This window comes from Homo sapiens, chromosome 3 (assembly GCF_000001405.40).
Source record: "Homo sapiens chromosome 3, GRCh38.p14 Primary Assembly".
In the NCBI taxonomy this organism is placed as follows: Eukaryota; Metazoa; Chordata; class Mammalia; order Primates; family Hominidae; genus Homo; species Homo sapiens.
The window spans coordinates 130,359,495-130,386,015 of record NC_000003.12 but is presented as its reverse complement, the minus strand read 5'-3'; the positions used below and the strand labels follow the sequence as shown (position 1 = coordinate 130,386,015).

The 26,521-nt window shown below is 38.6% G+C and overlaps 1 protein-coding gene across 3 annotated transcripts in view; it reads right to left on the bottom strand.

Annotated features, from left to right (window-relative positions):
* Positions 1–26,521, bottom strand: part of COL6A5 (collagen type VI alpha 5 chain) — a 139,175-nt gene that overhangs the window by 98,831 nt on the left and 13,823 nt on the right. For all 3 annotated transcript variants that reach the window (NR_022012.3, NM_001278298.2, NM_153264.7), the window contains exons 2-5: positions 12,311–12,405; positions 9,180–9,779; positions 5,966–6,598; positions 652–1,212 (exon numbers count right to left, since the gene is read on the bottom strand). Coding sequence is in view for 2 of the 3 variants with exons in the window: in NM_001278298.2 (NP_001265227.1) it covers positions 652–1,212; positions 5,966–6,598; positions 9,180–9,779; positions 12,311–12,377 (1,861 nt within the window). In the remaining variant the exon portion in view is untranslated. The remainder of the gene's footprint in view (positions 1–651; positions 1,213–5,965; positions 6,599–9,179; positions 9,780–12,310; positions 12,406–26,521) is intronic.

Below are 26,521 nucleotides of genomic sequence, written 5' to 3'. Positions count from 1 at the left end.
TTTCTCCTAACTTTTGGTACTTAATCTCTAATTAGAACAAAAATGCAAGTATGTGTTTTTGTTGTAAATAAAAATGAACAATTATTACATATATACTTGATATGCATTTAATATAAAAATAATGGTTGGCATTTATGGTGCTCAACTTATAAGGATTCTCTGATGTAGGTATTATCCTCATTTTATAAATGACAATGTTCCAGGCTCAAGTGGAAGTATGTGAGTCAAACCCTAAGCTATCTAGAGCCAAAGTCCATTTTCCTTCCACTGTACCCACCTGTGCACACACAAACACTGTACTTCCCCCGTACTTATTTGTGTATGCACATACATACACACACACACACCTCCCATGCAGAATAGAATCTCTCTCACTCCACAGCAGTGGGCTTTGTCAAGGCCCCAACATTCTTAGCAACCTTCCCACTTATGACTTCCAAGATGGCCTTGGGGCAACTGTTTATAGACAGATTCTCCAGTCTTGGCATTTGGTTTAAAAGTGAGGGGCTGAATCCCTCCATGGTAATAAAGGAAGCTAGCAAAATGTTATCCGGACAACTGGTCACATCAGGCCTTGTCTCAGCCTGGCCATTAATCTGCCTAAAGCAATTGATGAAATGTGGAGAATAAAGCCTTTTTTGTGTTGCTTACCTTTTTCAGCGCAGATTTCACGAACGACTTCATTTTTTATGCTTTTCAAAGCATCAAAGTTCTGCCCAAAGCTAACCCTTTCTTCTTTCCCAGCAATTTCTTGCAGTTCTATTTTATTAGCTGCCCCAATGCCAACTGCATGAACAGTGATTTGCTCAGCCCTTAGTCTCTTAGCAGGTTCCACGACTCTGTCTGTGGACATCCCATCAGTCAACACAATGAGGTAACAGGGAACCTTGCTCATTCTATCCTTCATTCCATTTTTTATTATTTGCAGTATGTAATCCAGAGCTTTCCCAGTATAAGTTCCACCAGTTAGTTGCTTAATGTTAAAAATAGCCTTTCTTAAGTCAATATCATTAGAATAGTCAGTGATATAAAATTCCACTTCTGTGTCATCTGAATACTGCACAACTCCAACTCGGACTTTGTCTGGGCCAATGCTAAACATTTCTGTCACTTCCAACATAAATCTCTTGATTTGCTCAAACTGTTTCTCCTGGATGCTGCTTGAGCCATCAATGAGGAAGTGGATATCAGCCTCTTTTGTATCCACACAGCCTGAAAAAGAAGTGCATTCTCTGTAAATTAGAGAACCTAGAGAGAACTTTGCAAGAGGGTTTGTGAAGGAACATGAGGCTGAGGCATTTCTAAAGAATGAAGACTTCGTTTTTGCGTAGAGCCTGCACACTTCATTAAGCACAGTCATGCCCATTTTCTCCTTTGAAATTTACAACACCTTGTGAGAAAATTGAAACAGGGCAAAATGTAGTGGTTTGTCTAAGGTCATATAACCAGTAAATTAAAGAGTAAAGACCAAATTCCAGAGACTCCAGGCTCCAAGTTAAATAGTTTTTCTAGCATTGACACCTGCCTTCTTAGACAGTTTATGTCCTATCATTTCTTGAAAAAAGGCATGGGATTGACGATCTTCTATTCTTACTTCACCAATAATCTCTTCTTCCCAGAGCAACTAGAATAAGATATTTAAATATAAACTTAGATCATATTATCCTACCTCTTAAATGATCTATCGTTGCATTTGGAACTTAAAAACTAAAACTTGGCCTTATCTTGTCTCCTGCTTTTCTCTCTGACTCTATTTCCAGCAATTCTTCGTCTCCCTCACTGTGTTCCAACCACATTAGGCTTCATTCTGTCTTTAGAACGTGTCCCTGGGTCTTTGCATGTGCCCTCCTCTCTTCTTGAAATATTCTTTGCCCCAAATATCCACATGGCTGCTTCCTTCTCATCATGGATGTCATCAAGTCATCTCTTAAAAAAGGTCTTCTCTTCTCCTTATCTAAAGCACACCTGTCATTGTCTATCTTCTTACAGTGTTTATTTTCTTTATGTTACTTTCTGAAGTTACCTTCTTCATTTGTTCATGAGCATGGCCTGTTTCTTACCACAGAATGTAATCCATGAGGACAAAGATTTTGTTTATTTTTCTGCTTCTGCCCAGTAGGCCTGGCACATCATAGGAGTTCAGTTTGTTTTTTTTAATAAAAGACTTCTCAATGTTCCTTCCTTTGTTAAGCTGAATCTATGAAAAACTATTTTTGCTTTCTTAGTAGTCTATTTACTACTTTATGTAGATATTCACAGAAACTGGGTAAGAGAAAGAACATATTTTCAAAATTTTGGGTTATGTGTGTCATTATCTGGTTTTCTTGACAGCTCTTAGGTAATTTATAGCTACTGACACTACTTCAGCCCACGGCAGTTGCTCCTTAGGAAATCAGATATACTGAAAAGAAGTCTGACCCTGAGAAATGAACTATAAAATCAATACATAAAGCATTAGGGCAAAGATAAGCGGTTATCTGCAAAAGACAGGGTTGATCCCAGGCCAACAAAACTTGAAAGTAACCGGAATGCATTAATTTATATATCTAATAAAGAAGAATTAAATGTTCAGCAAAAGAAAGGTAGTGGTGATTAGCAATGAGGGAGAGAAAAAGGTGAGTAGGTAACTGTAGCAATGCCCATTCATCCCTGCCTAGGGCTGTGCTATCCAATACACGAGCCACTAGTCACATGTTGCTATTAAAATGTAAATCTAAACTATCCAACATTAAATAAAATTAAAAGTCATCTTCTTGAGTACACTAGCTACATTTCAAGTGCTTAACAGCTCCATATAACTAGCAGCTACCCTATTAGCATAGATACAGAATATTTCTATCATTACAAAATTTCAATTAAACACTGCCAAAGAATGTGTCCCTTGGCTCAAGGCCTCACCTGTGCATTCATATATACAGATACATATATAAATATAGATGTATGTATTTGATTTTAAAGTAGAAACATCTGCCCAATTGGATGCTACTAAACATTTCAATTGTAAAACTACAGTAACTCTCTTGTTGTGATTCCACCACCCCAAGCAGAGTTTTGATTACAATTTAGCTTCTAATTTGGCATATCTATAGGGAGAGAATGTACCACTTGGAAGATGTGAATGTCCAAGCCCCTGGGCATTGATAGCTCTCATTTTTACATAGATAATTGTCATTCTTTTTCTATACATCAGTCGCTTGAGTTTGGTTAATGTGAATTTTGCCTTGATTTAATGAAGTTTTATGGAATAAAAACTGAACACTTAGTATGTGCCAGATGTAGTAGATATAGCAGGGACTAAGCCAGATATAGATTGTTTCTCTGAGCGTTGATCATTCTGAAATTGCAAAGCTGGCCACCACACTCTAGATCACAGAAACTTCACTAAGGTAGTAGGTCTTAAATGTTGCTAGCCTGAATTCATTAGGGAGATCACTAAAATGCATGGGCCCAGGCCCTACCCTCAGAGACCAATTCAGTAGTTTTAGAGTGATGCTTGGGCAACTGAATTATTAACAAGCTCCTCAAAAGACTCTAAGTTTAAAACAGACACTATTGGTGTTTTCACCTGTATTTTCTCAAATTTCTTACCATTTTTATGCAAACTGGCTGCTAGTGCTTTGCTTTAACTCCCAATAGCAAATGCTATATCTGTAGGTGAGCTGCCCCTGAGTTTCTGGCAACTCCTTTGCCTGGCACTTGAACCAGGAGTGTCCAGAAATTTACATTCCCTGCATGTGCTTAAATGTAAATTCTCTAGTTATGTTTTTTTGTGTTTTTTGTTGTTGTTTGTTTGTTTGTTTTCCTTGCCTGGGACAACTCTGGTGCTTGATATACACTATCTCTATAATGACACCATGGAATTGAGCCAACGTTACTATCCATAGGACTTTTCTTATTGTCCTTTCCTTCCTGTTCCCATTTCCTCATTTTCTTACCAATCTCCATTTTTTTTTCTGGTTACATTTCCTAATATATCAATTTCATGTGAATTTTTGCCAGGCATCTGCTTCTGAGGAGCCCAACTTAAGTCAGGTACCAACATTTTAAAACAATTGGATTACTAAGGAGTTACATAGTGAGGCCTTGTGCCCTAGCTTTGGTCCCATATCTTCCCATTTACAATTTCTATAATGACAATAATAATTTTTTGTGGCATCATTGCAAACTCCTGAAAGAGACTATGCCACATATCCCTCCTATGGTGTAGTAACAGTATTAGATTGAAGCTGGTCTGAGTTCAAAATTAGCCTTTAATATCATTGGAACATTAAAATTCCTTTCCATGTTGTGTGCTGCCAAATTCCAGTTTCAATTGCCTGGAAGCATTTTCTCTACAGAGAAAATGTGTGAGGACAGCAGATATCTCAGAATTAGATGAGCTCAAAGTCATATTAAGTATCTCTTGGCATGTACCTTTGAAAAGAGCTCAGTAAAACTATAGCAGATTCACAAAGAATCTTAACTAGGAGATCCTTCACTGGAATGATAGAAGAAAAAAATAGACAGGATTTAAATGTCAGAAAATAACCGTGATTGTGCATAAAAATACAGGTAAAAGGATGTCCCTGCAAGACTTTTATAAAAACAAAACATTGGCCTATATATCCAACAATTTAAGATATGTTTTAAAAAATATGGTATATCCATTAAATGGAATATTTTTCTCAACCTAAAGGAATGTTTCAAAAGAGTATTTAAGGAAACAGACAAAAGATCATAATATCAAGTTGATGAAAAAGTGGGTAAGGCAGATATTACTAGTTATCTCCAATATCCATTTTCTCCTTCTTCTACACCAATTGAACCACCAGTTTTAACCTAGGCGCTTGGCTTCCCCAAATAAAGGTCACATTTCCCAGCTTCCATTTTTATAACTTAGGTGTGGCATGTGACCAAGTACTGGCCAATGGGATGTAAGCAGAAATGGCACATATAACTCTTGGGAGCATCCTTGAAGAAAAGGTGAAGAGGCCTGGCCCTTTTTCTTCCCTTTTGTCTTTCTTGATTTCTGGATGTGAGGGTGATGCCTGGAGCCATTATTTTGGACAACGATCCTAGGAATTAAGACCACGAACAGCAAAAAATAATGTGGAAAAAGACAGGGTCTCTGACACTGTGGTGTATCAGACTAGCTCAGTCTACCTACCTCTGGACTTATTTGTGAAACAGAAAAAATAATCTTACCCTCTTTCAATTACTGTAATTTTGGTTTCTTCTGTTGGTCACACCCAAATATAGTTGTAACTAATAAAAGTTACCCAATTGTCTATGCCTATACTGTTCAATATGACAGCCACTAGACACACCTGGCTATTAAAATGAATTAAAACTACATGACATTTAAAATTCAGTTCCTCCATCACACTAGCCACATTTCAAGTGCTCAGTAGTCACACATGGCTGGTGGCTGACCTAGTGGACAGTGCAGATAAAGAACATTTCCAGCATCATAGAAAGGGCTGTTGGACAGCACTGATACATACAATGTGGTATCATTTTTAAAAACTGTGTATTTGTCTATGTGTGCATGAATGAAAGGAAGACAGAGAGGGAGAGAGGGGTGAGGGATGAGAGAAGGGAGGAAGAGAAAGAGAGAGGGACAGAAAAGACTAAAGACAACAGAAAAAAGTATTAATGGTTTTATCTGAAGATAGAATTACAGGTGATTCTATTTTCTTCTGTATGTCAAGCCATACTATTACAATATTTTATAATTAACACATATTTTACATTTTATTGAGGTGTGATTTATATGTTATAAAATTGACCTCTTGTAAGTGTATTGTTCAATGATTTTTGGCAAATGTTTGAAGTTGTATGGGCATCACCAAAATCCAGCTTTAGAACATTCCCACAACTCCTGAAAGTTCCTTTATCCAATTACAGTTGATCCTCACTCCCACCCTAGTCCTAGGTAACCACTTATATTAATTTTATAATTAGAAAAGTATTTTAAAAAACATACCAGTTTTATCAAGATTCCTTTGTTCAGCATAAGTAGAAATTTGGGACCATATTTCATTCTGGAGCTTTTTCAGGAACTTTGTACTGTAAGTTTCTAAGTCTGCATAGGACTTCAGCGTGGAAATTGTCTGTTCTGGAGGATAAGACACTATTTCTTCTAACTGGGTATTGTTAGCCCCTTGGATGCTCAAGGCAAACACGTTTACATCCTCCAGTCGAAGGTTCAGCGCAGCATCATGCACCTCATCATCTGATGGTCTGTGGGTGACCAGAACTGCAATCTGAGGCACTCCTTGTGCTCTTCTGCTGCCATATGACTCTGAGAAGCCGTCTCTTCTCATCTGATCAATGGCAGCCCCTGTATTGGATTTCCCAACTTGGATAGAAAGATTCTTGATTTGCTGCTGAAATTCAGATTGGGTTGTGCTTGATTTAAGAAAAGAAATAGTCTTGGCACTATTGCTGTAACTCATCAGTCCAAGTCGCATGCAATTTTCCTTCACATCCATGGAGCTGGTAATGTTCTCAAGGAAGGTCTGAAGATGCCTTAAATTTCCTCCGGTCCCAAGTGACTCATCCACCAGGAACACGAGGTCAGCGAGTGAATCTTTCTGACAGGATATGGGGAAGTGAACTATGCAGACAGAAAATGTGTGAGGATTAGTATAAACCACTGGCCCGGAGAGAAAAAGGTACTTTTTACATTATCAAGCACATTAGTTAGAATAGAGGTAGTCATGATGGATGTAGACAGCATCGTTTTCTTTTAGTGAACAAAAAATCAAAATTCTAAACAAGACTTACAAGGTCGTTGACTTCAAAAGCTTTCCATATGCTGTTCCCTCTGAAGAATGCTTCTGACCAATTTCCCTACCACATCCCATGACCACCACCACTATTATCTCCATGACCGCCATCACCACTTGTATGATCACCACCACCACTGCTGTCACTTCCACCTCCACCACGACCACCACCATCGTCACCACTACCTTCACTACTAGTGAAGTGAAGGAACCACCACGTCCACCATCACCGCTACCTTTACCACTGCCACCATCATTCTCAAGAACTGGGATGCAGGGATGAGTTAGCAGAAATATCTCTTACTACAGGGAGTTCACATTCTCTGGGGAGGGAAGATAACTAGATTGTATTATTTCACACAGTAATAAGTGCTAGCAAGGAAATAAAACAGGTGACTTGACTGAGTGACTACACTGTGGTTAAGGGAGGGTTAACTTACCTAGACATGAAGAAATCAGGGAAGGCCTCTCTGAGAGGATCACATGTGGGTTGAGAAATGACTGAAGAGAGGAATTCAGCCACACGGAGTTCTGAAGGAAGAGGAATTCCGGCAGATAGAACAGCAAGAGGTGGGAACAAGCAAGAAGTCCAGAGTAGTTGGAGCCCATGAGTGAGGGGAAACATTGACAGATGAGGCCAGAGGGAAGCAGGGCCCAGATCTTCTGGGAGTCACATGATCTTATTTAAATATTTTAAATACCACTCCAGTTGCTGAGAGGAAATAATGAATTCAGGGATAATAATTAAGAAACAATGGCCCTAGTCCAGGAAAGAGATAATGATTCTTGGACAAGTATTACAGCTGCTAAGATGGAATGACAAGGATAGTTTTGATACATGACTTAGAGGTAGAACAGAAAGCTGGATAAATTGCATGTGAGTATTGACAACAAAAGAGGAAGTGGTGAAAACTCCTGGGTTTTTGGCCTGAACAACTGAGTGAATGGTGGTGCTGTCTTTTTTCAAGATAGGGAAGATAGTGGGAAAAACAAGTTACAGGGGGGATTTGTGTTCTGTTTCAGACATGGTAAGTTTGAGAAACTACTGAGTATTGAAGAGGAGATGCCAGGTAAGCAGTTGGTTATACAAATTTGGAATCTAAGGGAAAGTACACCGTATTCACATAAAACATAGACTCCAAGCACAGCTGGATGAACTGCAGCTGTGGAAAGCATAGCCAAGAGATAAGCTCAACCTTGCCAAGAATTACCCATCTGTGAGTTCTTAGAAGGCAGAAAGCATGTCTTACTTATCACTATTCCTCCAGTACCTGGTGCCTGGTGAGAGCTCAAAAATATTTATGGAATTAAAATTAATCCTCATAAATCTACCAATCTACTCTGAAATCCCACAGTTAGCTAAAACAAACTCCAAGAATGACCTTCTCAGGTTAGTATTTATTTGCAAATGGTTGTTACTATTAATAATAGTAAACAGTGTGCCAAATGCCATACAAGTCACCTCATTCATATTATATGATAGACACTATTATCCTCACTTTACAGGTAAGGAAACTGACGCTCAGGGTTAAGTAAGGGACTCAATGTCCTAAGTGGCCAAGCCAGGGTTTGAACTCAGACCTTCCTGACTCCGAAGTCTTTGCTCCTAACCTCTAAAAGTCTAGGATGGGACAACACAGCAGATGCAGGGCTCAACACAGCAGAATGCAGTCCACTGCATTGCATTACTGCACCACTGAGGGCATCCCCTCTTCTTCCTGGTCGAACAGAAAATATGAACATGTACTAATAGTGTCTCATTCTAAGGTTATCATTCTTCTCACTGAGTATCACTATATATCAGTTCACAAGCATTTATTGAATATTTATTGTGAGTCTCATACTGTAACAAGATGGTGAAGGAAAGAGAATAGACAGTGATCCTATTTCTTTATCTGTAAGATCCTCACGTATTAATTCATTGAGAAATAGAACACCAGCTCATTGTCAGGCACTGTGCTTGGCACAAAGGACAGAGAGATAAGTTGTCAACCCTGCCCTCATGTGCTACCTGTTTCTTGCTTCGTGATGGTGGGGAAGGGAAGGAGGACAAACACAGAAATGGATAGTTACAGGAAGTGCTGCTGTCATAAGCTGTGTGCAAGGAACCGAAACCCAAAAAGAAATTAGAAAGGAAAGATTCCAAGAGGAAAAGAATGTAGGGATGAGATTTAAATGATGACAGGAGTTATTCAAGCTATAAGAAAGCAAAGGAGTGCAATAAGATAGAGCTCTTGTCAGAAAAAATGGCACAAGCAAAGGCAGAAGCGAGTAGGTATGATGTGTAGAAGTTTCCAATACTTCAACATGGCTAATCATGAAAACCTAACATGAGTTGCAAGAGGTGAGAGTGGACAGATGTAGACCCACCTGGGGATCAGGCACCTCTTCAACCAAGGGTTTCCTTACCTTGCATATCAGCATCGACGGCTCCCTCCTTATACTTGGTTACATCCTTGATGATCTGTGTCATGTTTTGGGAAAATGTGCTGAGGTCTCTGATTGTCCGAAGGTTGAAATGGAAATGGGATGTGGCCATGGCCTTCAGATTTTCCTCAGAAGCTTTCTGCACCCCCACGGAGATAATTTTCACCCCGTCTTTCTGCAGGGCTTTCGAAGCCTCTTCCACTTCATCCTCAGACTCAGCCGAAGCCAGGACCACCAAAATTGGGGGAAACTGTTTCCTGTCTCTCCCATTTATGGGTGCAGAGAAGTAGGTCCTATGAGCCTCCTGAAGAGCCTTTCCTATCTGCAGGGACCCGCCAATGAACTGAAAGTTCTTCTTGAGGTGGTTCAGCATGGGGCTTCTGCCTTTGAAGGTGCTCAGATGGAATTCACTGTGAAACTCGTCGCTGTACTGGGCCAGGGCTACACGGTATTTGTTGGCCTCTATGGGGAGACTGTTGATCATTTTGTTGATGAACGTTTTCACGAATGGGAATGACTTAGGTCCCAGGTGATCGGAGCTGTCCACCAGAAACACGACATCTGCATACACAGGGCCTGGCCCTATCAAAATAAAATAACAAGCAAAAACAAAGTTATCATTCAACCTTTGTATTTTAGACCACAATACTTATTTAAGACTATGTGCTGGTGTTAAGTGTATATCAGAATCCCAAGAAAAGTGTCTTCTGGAGGTCAAACAGAAGAAAATATAATTGCCTTTGCTAAAATGTCAAACAAAAGGGCTTTAGTAAAGTTAGCCAACAGATATACAAGAGACAATAAACTTCTTTTCTTTTTTAGTTCTGGAACCCTAAACTCTGATATTGTACCAACTCAGAAAGTCCCTGACTGGACTGGTTTTGCTGTGTCCCTACCCAAATCTCATCTTGAATTATAGCTCCCATAATCCCCATGTGTCATGGGAGGGACCCAATAGGAGGTAATTGAATCATGGAGGTGCTTACTCCCATGCTGTTCTTGTGACAGTGAGAGTCTCATGAGTTCTCATGGCTTTTCCCCTTTTGCTTGGCACTTCTCTCTACTGCTACCATGTGAAGAAGGACATGTTTGCTTCCACTTCTGCCATGATTGTAATTTTGCTGGGGCCTCCCCAGCCATGAGGAACTGAGTCAATTAAACCTCTTTCCTTTGTAAATTACCTAGTCTTGGGTATTTCTTCATAGCAGTGTAAGAATGGGCCAAAGTTGTTTGAGAACTAACAGCAATTTTTGAAAACGTTATAGAGTAAGCAATTGTCTCAGGTGGGAGAACAGAGTCTAAGATGGGGATTTCAGATGAAAGTGCTTGATTGAGGGCGCGCAATGTAAGAGAAACAGGATAGGACAGGGAACAAGCAGAGAAGGGCATGTCATCCGGTAAGGTCTAGCTTTGACCTGCTCTGCAAGGGGCTCTGGAGCCTAAATTACAGCAGAGCTGTCCCTCTTTGAGGCAAGAGGGCCAGTTTTTTGTGCTACCCTATTAGTCAGTCATTGGCTGCAGACCATCCCCAGAAGTTGGAGAGAAGGAGCAGAAGGTTGTAGGCAGAACCTCTTGGTTAAGTGGGAAAACTGAGAACAGTTCCCCTGAGAAAATGGGGCACAGCCATGAGCTGTTGCCAGCAATATTCACAGTAGCTGGGAGGTGGGTGCATCAGCCAGATAAGAAGAGTCTGGTAAGGGAGGTGCCAATAGTATCTACCTTAGCAGTCATGGTCAGCCGTGCTGCTCCTGAAATTAGTAATGTGCTAGTAAATGTCTAACAACTGGCTCTTTCAAGGTAACTCAGAAATGCATCAGGAAATCTTAGAGTAACACAGTGACAATGCACAGTTTAAAATACTTCTTTGAATGATGTTTTTAGTAATTACAAGAGAGTATAAAAACTTACTTTTCATGCATGCTCTCTCGCTTTTCCTATACAGACAGGCACACAGACACGGACATACACACACTCACACAGTCGTGTGCTTCACAACGACATAATGACATTTCAGTCAACAACAGACTGCATATATGACAGTGGCCTCATACAGTTAAAATTAAGCTGGCTGGTCATGGTGGCTCACACTGTAATCCCAGCACTTTGGAAGGCCAAGGTGGTAGGATCACTTGAGCCCAGGAGATTGAGACCAGCCTGTGCAAGATGATGAAACCCTGTCTCTACAAAAAATATAAAAATTAGCCAGGTGTGGGGGCATGCACTTGTAGTCCCAGCTATTTGGGAGGCTGAGGCAGAAGGATTGCTTGAGCCGAGGGAGCAGAGGTTGTGGTGAGCCGAGACTGCATCACTCCACTCTGGCTTGAGTGACAGAGTGAGACTCTGTCTCAAAAAAATACGATTATAATAGAGCTGAAAAATTCTTATCACCTAATGACATCATAGCTGTCATAATGTGGTAGTGCAAGGTATTGCCTTTTCTGTGTTTAGATGTGTTTAGATATATAACTCCTTACCATTGTATTATACTTGCCTACAATATTCAGCATAGTAACATGCAGTACAGGTTTTTAGCCTATGAGCAATAGGTTGTATCATATGCCCTAGGTGTGTAGTAGGCTACACCATCTAGGTATAAGTATACTCTATGATGTTTACACAATGACAAAATCACCTAATGATGCATTTCTCAGGAAGTACACCCATTGTTAAGTGACGTATGACTGTGTGTGTGTGTTTGTGTGTAAATATATATTTCATGCTTGTAAAAGGAAAGGAAGGCAATGGTTTTAGTCACGAAAATACTTAGAATTTGTTTTCTGTGTCGGGTTCCTTTTCTTTCATTTATGAGATCAAGATTCAAATGGATCTATAAACAAATGGACTGACTCAATCCATGGAGACATGTAATATTGAGATTGAAGCAAATTAATGGATAATTAAAGTTTTTCTAGCCAGGTGCAACATAACTCCTGACTTTTGCTCATGGCTTTGTGCTGTCTTTCACAAGTTAAGTTTGTTTGATGTTGTATAACAATTACTAAATGCTGCATACTTTGATTTTTAGTAAATAAATTATTTCTTGCTGTTTATTAAAGTTTACTGAGATGTAAAAATATTTCCTAAATAATAATAAACGTAAAATATACTGATACCTGGGCTCTGGTCTGCCAATGTTTCAGTCCAAATGATTAGGACAAATATAATTAGCAAGATCTTCATTTTGTTAGTGAAGATTTTTACTTTTGTTCTGCAAAAGAAAATTATTTACATTATGAAAAATTTTATTTTATACCATTAAGTAACTGTCAGGATAGTTGTATTAGGGCATGGTACCTGTAAACAAGTATTTGTCAAGCAGTGCCAAGTGTGTTTATAAAATTCATCAAGCATTTGGAGTATTTGTTGAAAATATTAATGCTAATGTTTGCTGAGCCCTGGCCAAGGCTCAAACACCTTTCTCAGTGCTTGACAAGTGTCATCTAATTTAATCCTCACAACAATCTTATAGGGAGGTACAATTACTACACTTATGTGACAGAAAAGGAAACTGAAGCACCAAATGGCTTGGTAAGAGGTAGATCGATCCACAGTACTAACCCAGACGAAGCAATTGCATCACCTAACCTCTTAACCACTGTGTCATAAGCTTTATACAAAATTACTGTCCTCGCAAAATTTATGTAGTCACTATTCTCTACCCTTTATTGTTATGCCACTATCGTATATGTTTATAATTTGGCTTAAAAAGCCAACAGCTACACGTCTCTTCCTTCACTAAGCCTTTGTGAAAACTGCTTCCTCACTTACAGTTATGCTCAATTTCACAAACTACCTTAGGTTTGGTTTTTCCACATAGTTCACAATCAATCAGAATGCTTCATGGGAAATTAAAATCTCAGGAATTTAACCAAATCAGAGTTTGTTCTTTATAAGAATAGAAATAGATTTAAATGGCCGATACTCAAAAAATAGATCTCCCTTAAAACAGATACCAAAGGTGTAAGGGCTGATTTTTAGAGTCCTTTTGAAATTGTTACTCATTCAGGAAGATTGATAGAATCATTGGAAGCTGGATGTGGAGAAGACCCTATAAATCATTTAGATTAAGCCCCCAGTTCAGGGGAAACAACATTTTTATCACCCCAAAAAGAAACCCCAAACCCATAGCAGTCATTCCCCATTCCCCCACTCCCCTTCTATAGGTGCTGGCACTGATCTACTTGCTTTCTCTATGGATTTGCCTATTCTGGACATTTTGTATAAACAGAATCATACAATATGTGGCCTTTATGTTTGGCTTCTTTCATTTAGTATGTTTTCAAGGTTTATCCATGTTATGGTATGTATCAGTACTTAATTCTTTTTTATGGCTGAGTAATATTCCATTGTATGGATATAGATATATATATATATAATTTAAAACATTAATTGTCAGTTGATGAACATTTGGGTTGTTTCTACTTTGGGCTATTATAAATAATACTGCTATGAACACTTATGTACATGCTGGTGTGAATATATATTTTCATTTATCTGGACTAGGTACCTAGGAGTGAAATATTTGGTCTTATCATAACTCTATGTTTAACATTTTGAGAAACTGCAAAATTGTTTTCCAAAGTGGCCACACTATTTTACATTCTCAGCAGCAGTGTATAAAGGTCCCAACTTCTCCACATTGCCATCAACACTTATTTTCCATTTTGTTATTATAGCCATTCTAGTGGGTATAAATGGTTTTCATTTGCATTGCCCTAATGATGAATGATGTTATCTTTTCAGGTACTTAATGGCCATTTGTATCTCTTATTTGGTGAAACATCTATTTAAATGCTTTACCCATTTTTAACTGGGTTTTTTGTCTTTTATTGTTGTAATATAAAAATTCTTTATATACTCTAGATGCTAGAATACTACATGCTTAGCAGATATATGACTTGCTAATATACTCCTGCCATTCTGTGTGTTGTATTTTCACTTTTTAAATGTGTCCTTTGAGGCACAAGTGATTTTAAATTTGATGAAGTCCAATTTATATGAGGTTTTTTGTTTTATTTTGTTCCTAGTGCTTTTAGTGTCATATCTAAAACACCATTGCCTACAGTCATGAAGAGTTACTTGTATGTTTTCTTCTAAGCATTTTATAGTTTAGCCTTGCATTTAGTTCTTTAACCCATTTTAAGTTGTTTTGTGTATGGGGTGAGGTAGGGATACAATTTCACTCTTTCGTATGTGGATATACAATTACCGTTGTCCTAGTACCATTTGTTGAAAAGACTTTTCTTTCACCATTGAATTGTCTTCACACCCTCATCAAAAACAAATTTACTATGAGTGGATGGGTTTATTTTTAGACTCTCAATTGTATTCTATTCATCTATATTTCTGTCCTTATGCCAGTATCACATAGTCTTGATTATGCTACCTTTTAGAAAGTTTTGAAGTTGGAAAGTGTGAGTCCTTCAACTTTGTTCTTTTTCAAGGTTGTTTTGGCTATTCTGAGCCCTGTGCATTTCTATATGTGTTTTAGAATCACCTTGTCAATTTCTGAAAAAAAAAAAGAAAAGGCATCTGGATTTTGATAGGAATTTCATTGAACAGGTAGATAAATTTATGGAGTTTTAGCATCTTAATATTGTTTTACAATCCATTACTATGGGCTTTCTGTGGAGAAGAGAATTTTTAGATCTCCTTATTTCATATTTTCACTGATGCTCTTTAAATATAGGAGATCATAAGAATTCAAAGATAAAGAGGAGGCCTTTCTGTACAGCCACGTGAATTCAGAAGCCAGTAAATGTTCAGAGCTGTGTATACATCCTTCTTTAGGTTGGGTGTATGTTTAGAGAGTAAGATTAAGCTGGTCTCAACCCAGTAAAGCTCAGTTGAGTTTTGCTTATGAACACTGGAGCCCAGAGTACCTACCCCAGGTGGCCATTCATGCCCACATCCCTTGGCTTAGCTCTGCTCCCATTCTTTCTTCAGCTCAAATTCCCACTTTGCATGTCTTGGCTCCAAAATAGTAGCAATAGCTTAATTTTGTAGAGGTGGAACTGCTGAGTAAAAAGTATATTTACTTTAAGTTTCTTTGGATACTGCCAAATTGCTATCCTTTGGGTACCAAATAATATTCCCTTACCTGCCCCAACATAGTATGTCTCACTATTTTCACTTCACATTCCTATTCGTCTTTTCCATTATTTACACTGTTTTTGTATAAGTTATTCTGATTAGTCTGTCTTTTTTATTGTTCATGCTTCTGAAATGAATAATTTTCTTCAGATATAAGCTTATTTTAATTCCCTTGGCAAGTAATATATGCCTGGGAACAGGGTGAAATTTGTATTCCTCCAGATAAGATGGATATAGAATAGGGCAGCCTCTCAGAAAAGAAAATGACCAGTGCTATAATCTAGGCTCTACCACTCCCAATCCCCTCTTCCAGCCCTGTAGTTATTCAGGGGAAGCCACTCTTTCTATGACTCTTGGTCCTTTGATGGCTCAACCTGTCTCTTTTGTAACATCTTGAAGTTTGGATTTGGTACATGAAGTCAGCAGGCAGTGCTAAATTTCCAGCTTTTCCAAAATTCAAAGTTTCCCATGCCAAAGGAAAAGTGAAAAAAATATTTAGAATATACAGACCCTAAGATATAATAGTAGGGGTCCCTTTGGAGAGAGTTGAATCACATCTCTAAGGCTCCTCCTAACTCTAAAATTCTCTGATCCTGTGATTCTATGATGGAAGGACCTGAGGTAGAGAGTAGCATGAATGAGTGATACTTTAAGGAATTAATTGGCCATTTTGGAGGAGATATACCCCAAACTAGACTTGGGGCCCAACGAAACTCCAAGTTTGAATAGCTACCAAGTGAACCAACACACCCTTTCTCACACTTTCAAATGCTCAAACTCTCAGAGGCTGACTGGGAATTCAAAGTTAGTATCACATCTGAGGGAAGGGCACCCCAAGCCCACTTCAGGGTAGACCAACAGCCAAACTGCACATCTGGAGAGAAGGCACACATGCTGAGGGCTGGGCATCAATCAGCTGGCCTTGCTATTTCCTGTGGGGATGCTCAGCACATGTAGATCAGCCACATAGAGATGGGGGCTAAAGCTCCCTAGCCACTGCCAGGAGACAAAATAAGAGAATAATAATAGACTAATGAATAATCATGTCCCTTCTTTTGATTGCATTCCTTTGGTCAAAAATATCTGTGAAGACAAATCTCACTCATTCTGAATGAGAAACTGTATTTTTTATGGGGCAATCTATTTTATAACCTATGGCATGAGGTGTTAAAGTGACTTGGTGAAGTAGGGAGAAAAAGCTTAATTTAGCAAAATATAAAGGCACATGATAAAGCTTGCAACCCTCTAAGAGGTTCAGACACTAAAGGGAAAAAGAAATTATTTAACAAGTTATAACTGCATAGCAAAGGCCTCGGTGTAATTCTTGAATCCATGAGATTGGAAGTATGTAAACAGTTTATTGGAGGTTTAGACTGCTAAATCCTAAATCAAACATGCCACAAATATTGCAAAAGTAATTGCAGTTTTTGCCATTAAAAGTAATGGCAAAGTATAGCATTCTGAAAGAGAAAGTTTAATTTATCTTTCTCTCCTTTTGCAGTCAAAGGAGCAAAAAGCCCTGAAATATGGTAAGAAATAAAGGTCAGGTCATCTCCCCTCTGTCCTCTACACTATTTCCCTTCTCCCTAATGCCTGCCTTCTAGTTTCCCTGGTTAAGCATCCCTCACTCAGGATTTATGCAACAAAAGCTGGCCAGAATATGGAGCTCCAGTAGAGGGAGAAGGGCACAGCTTTAGGAACCACAGTCTCCAGTTGATAAGGGCCGTAGGCTGCAAATGCACCATCCATGCACTCCCACCTGAGGATCTGAGGTCACAGAACCAGTCCATGGCTGAGCTAAAGCTTAAATTCTCGGCTTAGCCTCCCTGGTGCCTTATCCCATTTCTGGAGCATCTGGAAGGCACATTGAGTTTTCCTGTCAAAACAAACTGTGAGGCTAGATAATTATTTAGCCTTATTTTCCTGTGCTGGCTGTCCATCCTGTGGGTGCCATATGACTCTACTTCCTTTGGTTTTCATTACTTTTGTTTCCTCCATGGCACCACTCCTCCACACTCTCAAATCTGTCCACACCCAGACACTCATTCTAGCCACCTGGACTGCCAAGACCCTCCTCTTCTTTGGTACCTATCATATTCTGCCTTGTACTGAAGTTACTGAAAGACTTTCTTAATCCCCCACTTCTCCTCCTTACCCAGTAACACACACACACACACACTCTCTCACACACACTCACACATACACACCGACCACTAACACCTATAAACTCCTTGAAGGCAGGACTGGACTCTTCGTTCCTTGTCACTGAACGTCCCACTTGCTTAGGTCAGTGCCTGCTTTAGAACAGGTTCTCAAGAAGTATTTGCTGGATTGAGTTAATTACTGAGGAAGTGATTAAAAGCCCCATTTATCCAACTATTGTGCCCATTAAACCTCACACAGAAGGAATTCCAGAAATTTCTAGAAGCAAAAGGCCATGTTTGGAATATCCTGCGACTGATAAAGTAAGGATCTATGCATGGGAAGCAAACTCCACTGATTTGAGCAACTCTGGGGCACAGCTGAACACCATATTGGAGCATTCCAGACAAGTCCCAGGGAGCCTGCTGTAGCAGGAGAGGCTGTGTAAACCATCCTGGTTCCATCTTTTCAAAAGGCAGAGGCCTTACAAATCTTCCAGGGTCAGCTCTGGGAAGAAGTAGGTGTGGCGAGGAGGTTTGGCAGCAGTACTAGGACCAGTATGTCCTTTAATACAGGCTGGGTAAAGAATCTGAGAAGTGAAGATGCAGAGTTCTTGCCTGGCTAGAAAAAACTTCATTCCAATGCCACAGACATTTCTGAACAATCATGACGCATGAAGCTTACTGCATACAATATGAGAAAATGAAGATAAAGACCTAGTCCTTACCTAAAATAAGAATAGAATCTTTGCCTGACCAAATCCGACTCATGATTTAGAACTTGATTCAGCAAAGTTTTCCCACCTCTGTAGTCTCACTGGACCTTATAATTTATATATATATCCACACATATGTATGCATGCTTGGGTCTGAGAGATTATTTATCCATTCAACAAATATTCCTCAAGTGCCAACAATGTTCTTAGCACTTTTGTAGGCAGTTTGGATTTAGCCGTGGACAAAACAGACAAAAAGCTTGCCTGGAGACTTGAAATCTGGTTGCCTACATGTCCACCTCCCATTCTGAACTGCAAACTTCTTTAGAGTAGAGACCAAGTATGTTTGATACATCTTTACGTCTCCAGTGCTTGGCAGAGTGAGTATTCAGGAAGAAAGGAGAAGAGGAAATGAAGGCAGGTCGGAAGGCAAGTGCTCGTGCAAATGCTGATAAAATATGGGAGGATGAGGTATTATTTCAAATGAGGGAATCGACAAAAATATCATGCACAAAGGGGAAGAGGAGAGATCAAGGATCCCAGGTAGAGAGGTGTCTACAACTGGATTACACAGCACATCCGCAGAAGGAAACTGTTTCTCAAGTTCTTCTTTTTGGGAAATGTCTGATATCACATTCTAATAATACTTTTATCAGAGGAAACTGGATTAGGACAGAAGGCAGGAATGCTTATGCCACCAGCTCCTAAAACCTAAACAAATAAGACCTATCAGAAACACGGGCTACAGTTTAATTAACACATCTAACAACCATCACGTTCCCAGTCTTCCAACACTGCTGCTTATAGATAATTTATGGAACTGAAATAGGCTTTGGACACAGAGTGAAACACATAAAATTCTTCCTCCAAGAGCACACAATCTATTTGGGGAGCCAGGACAGTGGCATGAAAAGATGAAATATAGAAAGCCACAAACATTAGCCCCCTAACAACTATGGGGGTTATTTTGTAAGGTCAGTAAAGGTCATAAACCTATTGGTTTTGACTAAAATGTCACTGCAGGCTCCATCATACAATAACTGTCTATGGCATTTACTTCAATGCCTACCCCATAGTAGGTGCATAGTGAATATTTGTTAAAAGAATAAATGAACATGATGTTTCAGAATAAATTGTAAAGAACAGTTAGAATGCAGTTTAAAGAATAAAATACAGCACTTCAGAGTATAATTTATAAAAAGACATCAAAAGGAAATATACAAAAGCCCTTGATATACTCTAAAGTCTTCTACAACTTTGATCAGGCATTGTGGAAAGAATATCAAGGAATCAGAACTCATAATTCAAACCATGAGCTCCTCTCTGAGACTTGCTTCTGTAATCTATAAAACAAGAGGGTTGGACTTGAGCTATAGAATGATCTCATTTTGTAAATTAGAGTACAGGCCGTCTGGGAACATGGGCTCAACGAAAGGCATAAAATGAGTGAGCAGGTCCAGCCCTACAAGGTGTGGGCCTCTCAGAAAGGCAAGATGTCACCCTTCTTGCAAGAGCATTGGCAAAAACCACACTGATATATACAGAAGCCCCCTCTATCAGAGCCCAGGCATCAGAATTTTGTTTCAAGTATTATTAATTACTGTTCAAGTATCTAACCCATAAGCTTCTTATACACCAGATTTTAAAAAATAAACATCCCTAGATAGAAGAATGTCTTGCTTATGTTACTAATCCTTCTATTTGCCACAACTTCATAAGGCCTATTATATCCACATGGAAATAAATGACATTGGACCACAGCTGCCATCCAAATCATGAAGGCCCCAAATCAGCAGCATTACTATCCATAGTTTCAGTAGCCTGCTTTCCTGCTCTAGGACCCTTATGGGGTCTGGTTGCGTGCCTCATTATTAGGGTTGTGGCTGAGAAAACAAAATGTGGCTTGGCTCGCTCTTCTCATTATTACTTTCTTAAGAAAGAACAGGCTGTGGGCTGGTGATTCTCAATTTTGGCTGCACACTAGAGAGCTATTAAAAATATTGATGCCAGGTCCCACTCCCAGAGTTTCTGACTCAATTGGTCAGGGGCATGGTCTGAACACTGGGATTTTTTTAAACACTCCTGGTGATTCCAATGTGCAGCCAAGGTTGACGACCACTAAGTTAGGCCATCCTGAATGGTGTAAGCAAGCTCTCTACAGAAAACACAGAGGTACAGTCCCAGAGAGAAAATCTGGGCCTCAATGTCTTTATCTGTAAGTTGTGGTCAATAACAGCTATAACATTGTGTTGTTGAGAAGTTTACATGAGACCATGTACATAAAACATCTTAGGCCAGGCGCGGTGGCTCACGCCTGTAATCCCAGCACTTTGGGAGGCCGAGGCGGGCGGATCACGAGGTCAGGAGATCGAGACCATCCCGGCTAAAACGGTGAAACCCCGTCTCTACTAAAAATACAAAAAATTAGCCGGGCGTAGTAGCGGGCGCCTGTAGTCCCAGCTACTCGGGAGGCTGAGACAGGAGAATAGCGTGAACCCGGGAGGCGGAGCTTGCAGTGAGCCGAGATCTCGCCACTGCTCTCCAGCCTGGGCGACAGAGTGAGACTCCGTCTCAAAACAAAACAAAACAAAACAAAACATCTTAAAGGAGACATCTGTTGATTTTGTCTGCCCAACGTTCATTACTCCTTCTGAGGATTCTCCTTCCCCACTTTCAAACCATGTAGTTGCTTAAATCTTGACCTCACTCCTACTCCAGGAAAGTACACCTGGCTTAGGCCAGCATTGCTACAGTCACTGTGATTGATCCAACAATGAGCACCTGACCTACACCATCAAAGTCAGAGAGAATCAGCCAGTATACAGGTTTTGCCACCATGAAGAAGAATCCCAAGATCAAGAGAGATGTATCTTTGATGACATCAACTGAGCACCTTGATCAGCCTGATCAATCCCTCGACTTTTCAGGTGTCTCAGTCAATAAATTCTATTTTGTGTTTGAGCTAGTTTGGGTTGGGTTTTACTAATACATGAGCAAAAAGAATCCTGACCAGAATTCAATTGACAACCTTTGAAAATGCCTGGATACCAGACCTGCTGGGATATCCAATATTAGGGCCTCTATTGATGGTTCTTTCCTGCTGCAACTTTGCAGAACAAGACTCACTGGAGAGATCTCGAATTCCTAGTCCCTTTGCACCTGACCAGGCATCATAGTATCCACATCGTTTTTCCCTCTGCTTCAAGGCTGAAGGACTTTGCGCTTTTCTTAAGTGCAAACTCAAATCCTAATTATACTTCAGAACTAGACCCGCCTGCTCTCTGACTACTGCAGCCTCTGTCTAATCCTCCATATTTCCATCTGCCCCAAACACTCAGTCTACATCACCATCACCATTTTTTAATAGCTAAGATGTATACTCTATTTAGCTGTACTGTTTATTTGTGTGTATATGTTTGGTAGTGCTATCTCCACTGAAACTTTTGAGAGAAGGTACCATGTTTTCTTCTACTTTGGGGTTGTCCTAATACAATGCAAAGCAAGTAAATGCCTGCTAACCTTAAAGGATATAGTAGGTTAGGGGGAAATGCAGAAATGGATATGCAGAGTATGATCCCAATTTTTTAAAATGTCATATGCATTTATTTCTAAGATGTGGGGTCGAGGATATTTTTGGTTCATTCTTAAATTAGAAATTATTTTTCTGAAGTAAAGCAAACATAAAAATTTGAGAAAAAAATCACAAATATAATATGTGGCTTCCCAGGACAGTGCCAGTTTATGACTGTGGTCCCAGTGCAACGATTAATAGCACCTTAGTTATCTCTTAAAATTGCCCTGGGACTATGGTTTCTAGTTTGCTGTGTGGTAGCTTGGAAGTAAGTTGTCACTCCATCCTAAAAACAAGTGAAAAACTAAGCAAACTGAAAATTAACAATTTTTCTTTGTCACAGGGAAAACCACTGCCCCAAAATTGAAGAGACAGACAGGAGGATACAGAAAATCACAAGTACAATTTATTGGAGCAGAAACTCATGAGCTGAAACCTTTGCAGGAACCAGTGCTGGGGTAGGAAAACTTGAAGTGTAATTGACAAATGGCTGAAGGTGCAATGTGGACAAGTCTAATAGTTAAAAATTCCAGAAAAGCAAGTGTTAAAGTGGCACCCACACTTTCGTTAAGTTTTACCTCAGGGAGCTCTATCAAACTCTCACAGTAAAGATAAAAGAAAAAATTTCTCATTATTCAGCAGGGTGAGGGGAATGGAAACCATTTTTAAATACACCACAGCACACTGTTCTTCTTAACAAGGCATGTTCTCAAGAGAAACTATTTCACCAGAACTCAACCTGCTGGGGTTTTATCAGAATCTAGCTGGCCTAGACGAAAGGAAATACCCAACTCTAGTCCCCATTACACCATCCTGTCCCTCCCAAGAGTGGTGGAAGAGAGGATGAGAGGCATTTGTAAAGTTCATAGCTCGGGAACACAGGCTCACTAAAGGACTGAAACCTAATCAGAGAACTATAGAATGCTTCTTCTCACTCCATACCTTACCACTAAATCTGCCACTACATCATTAAAGTCCTATTTACAGGATGAGTAAGGGTGAATTTGAATTATTTTGTTATTATAAGTTATTTGCACTACCTGTGAAGCAGTATAGTGATATTTGAAAGTATACTTGGATTAGTTATAAATGCAAACTCTAGAGCAACCACTAAAGAATGAAGTATAACTGATATGCTAAGTAAGGAGAGAGAATTGAATCCTAAAATGCTCAACTAAAACCACAAAAAAACAGAAAAGAGTAGAAGACAAAATTGGAACAAAAAACAAAGGCAACAAATAGAATATAGTAACAAATATGGTAGATATTAATGCATCTGTATCAATAATCACTATAATGGTTTAAATGCACAACTAAAAGAGATTGTCAGAAATTAAAACACATTGAATATATGTTCTCTTCAAGGAACCTGTTTAAATATAGATAAATGTAGATTAAAAGAAATTGGATAGAGAAAGATATACCATGCTAATGCTAATTAAAAGAAAGCAGGAGTAACCATATTAATTTCAGACAGAGAAAACTTCAGAGCCAGGGAAGTTATCAGAGATAAAGAGGGGCATTAGAGATATTCCATGTTCATGGATAGAAAGACTCAGTACTGTCAAGATGTCAGTTCTTCCCAAATTGATCTGTAGATTTAACACAATCCCAATCAATGTCAGCAAGTTATTTTGATATTGACAAACTGATTCTAAAGTTTATATGAAGAGGCAAAAGACTCAGAATAAACAATACAATTTTAAAGGAGAAGAACAAAGTTGGAGGACTGACACTTCCTGACTTCAAGACCTTCTGTAAAGCTACAGTAATCAAGACAGTGTAGTACTGGTGAAAGAATAGACAAATCAATGGAACAGTCTGGAGAGCCCAGAAATAGACCTGCACAAATACAGTCAACTGGTCTTTGACAAAGCAGCAAATGCTATACAATGGAGCAAAGACAGTTTTTTCAACAAACAGTGCTGAAACAACCAGACATCCACATGCAAAAAAAAAAAAAAAAAAAAATATATATATATATATATATATATATATATATATATATGGAGAAAGACAGAGACAAAGAGAGAGAGAGAGAGAGAAAGAAACCTTACACCCTTCCCAAAAATTATCTCAAAATGGGTCACAGACCTAAATGCAAAATGCAAAACCATAAGCTCCTAGAATATAACATAGGAGAAAATCTAGATGACATTGGGTTTGGCAACGACTTATGAAATACAACACCAAAGACAAGATCCATGAAAAAAAATAATTAATGAACTGTACTTCATTAACATTAAAATGTCATGCTTTATGAAGGGCACTGTCAACAAAATGAGAAAACAAGCCACAGATTGGTAGGCAGGGGAAGGTTTGCAAAAGACATATCCAATAAAGGACTATTACCCAAAATATACAAAGAACTCTGAAAACTCAACAATAAGAAAACAAAATATCTGAACAGACTTCTCATCGAAGAAGACATGCAGATGGCTAACAAGCATATGAAAAAATGGTTAACATCATATGTCATTACGGAATTGCAAATTAAAAGAGTAAGATGCTACTACACACCCATTAGTATGGTGAAAATCCAAAACACTGACAACACCAAATGCTGGCAAGAATGTGAAACAATAGGAACTCTCATTTACTGCTGACAGGGATTAATGCAAAATGGCACAGCCACTTTGGAAGACAATTCAATAGTTTCTTACAAAACTAAACATATTCATCCCATACAATCCAGCAATCACGCTTCCTGGTATTTACCCAAATGAGTTGAAAACTTACATCCATACAAAAAACTACACGTGGATGTTCAGCCTTATTGATAATTGCCAAAACTTGGAAGCAAACAATATGCCTTTTAGCTGGTGAACAGATGAACTATGGTATATTCAGGCCAATAGATTATTTAGGACTAAAATGAAATATACTATCAAGCCATTAAGAGACATGAACCTTAAATGCATATTAATAAATGAAAGAAGCCAATCTGAAAAGGCTATATACTGTATTTTTACAACTGTATGACATTCTGGAAAGGGTAAAACTACAAAGACAGTAAAAAGATTTGTGGCTGTCAGTGGTTAGGAGGTATGGAGGGATGAACAGGTGGAGCACAGACGATTTTTAAAAACTATTCTGTCTGATCCTATCATAATGGATACATGTCATTATACATTTGCCAAAATTCACCAAATGTACATTCCCAAGAGTGAACCCTAACATAAACTTTGGACTTTGGATGATAATGATGTGTCAGTGTAGGTTCATCGATTGTAATAAATGTACCATGTTGGTGCAGGATATTGATAGCAGGGGAGGCCTCATGTGTTTAGGGTAGGGGGGCATATAGGAACTTTGTACTTGTTGCTCAATTTTGCTGTGAACTTAAATAGAACATCAGTTTGGGCACGAGAGACTTTTTGGGATTATGGAAATGCTCTCTATACTGATTATGGTTACATGGAAATATGCATTTGCCAAACAGTTCCAATAGTACACTTAAAATTGATGCATTATATTATATATAAATTATATCTCAAAAGGGTTGACTTTGTTAAGTGCACAGTTTGGATGATGAATGATTTTATCATAAGAATGGTATAACAAACAAAGGGCTATGGTAGTAGTCTGGACTAGCAATAAAGGTGTGCACAGAGCCTTTAAAAATAATAACAGAACAAACTTGGCCTGCTTTATTATCCCCAATGAGCAAGCAATGTTAATCAATGTCAGTAACAATCTTCACCTTCGTGGCTGCATGGACTGCTTTCACCACAAATGATACATATTCCCATTCCCTAGAGACGTAATAAAACTCCTACTGGTTTGGATGTATTCTTCCAGAAGGTTTCCCTCTGCATAAATGAATCATAATCTACATTAGTCGAATGCTGCCTGCATCTTAAAATCAGTATATGATCAAAACCGGCCTAAGCTTAAATATCCCCCTCATAATATGAATTTGAAGAATCCAAGAATAAATCAGAAGTTTTACCCCAAATGTGTAAATTATTATCATTTTATTAAAACTTTAATAGCAAAATTATTAAAAATTGGCATTAGAGTACAGGAACAATATTCTCAGCACTGGTACCTGCTGGATTGTTCTTGAAGCCACTGCATTACATTTATGCCACACTAAGCAGATGCTCGTTTGCAGTTGATGTCTAGGAAGAGCATGTAATTTGGAGATCTATTGGGGATTTTTCCCATAAAACTTCCTTTTTTTCTTCATTCTCTTTATATTCTTTCTGGTGTTTGGTATGAAAATGATTTAATATAAATATTGGTTATTTGGTAATTTTCCTTGTCTTAAAATTTTGAGCTGATGTAGTTGTCATTCCCCCATAACAAACGGTCATGAATTGTGAACAATTCAAAAGTAGAATTTTTCTTGAAAATTAATGGTCTAGGTGGAAGTAAATAACTAAAAATAAAATCCACTTCATAAAGATAACTTTCTGTAATATCATGAGTGCTAATATACTAAGCTAAACTTTTCTGTAAAGAAAAAGTAAGTAAATATTTCAGGCTTTGTAGGCCAGACCGTCTCTAGGAAAAATATACTACTCAATTTTGCCCTTCCAAAAGCAGCCACAGAAAATATGTAAACAAACAAGCATGACTGCAGAACCACCTATGACTTCTGCGGGTCCTACACACTTTTGCCTTATGGGATCCTCTCATAATAAAATGAATTAAAAAATTATTTTTGCTGTAGGTCCTATACACTTTTGCTTTATAGGATTCTCTTACCATAATAAAATAAATTAAAAATTATTTTTGATATAACTTTAAGTACTTTAAAATTTAATTTATTTCTGTTTTAGGCAAAATTTAATAGAC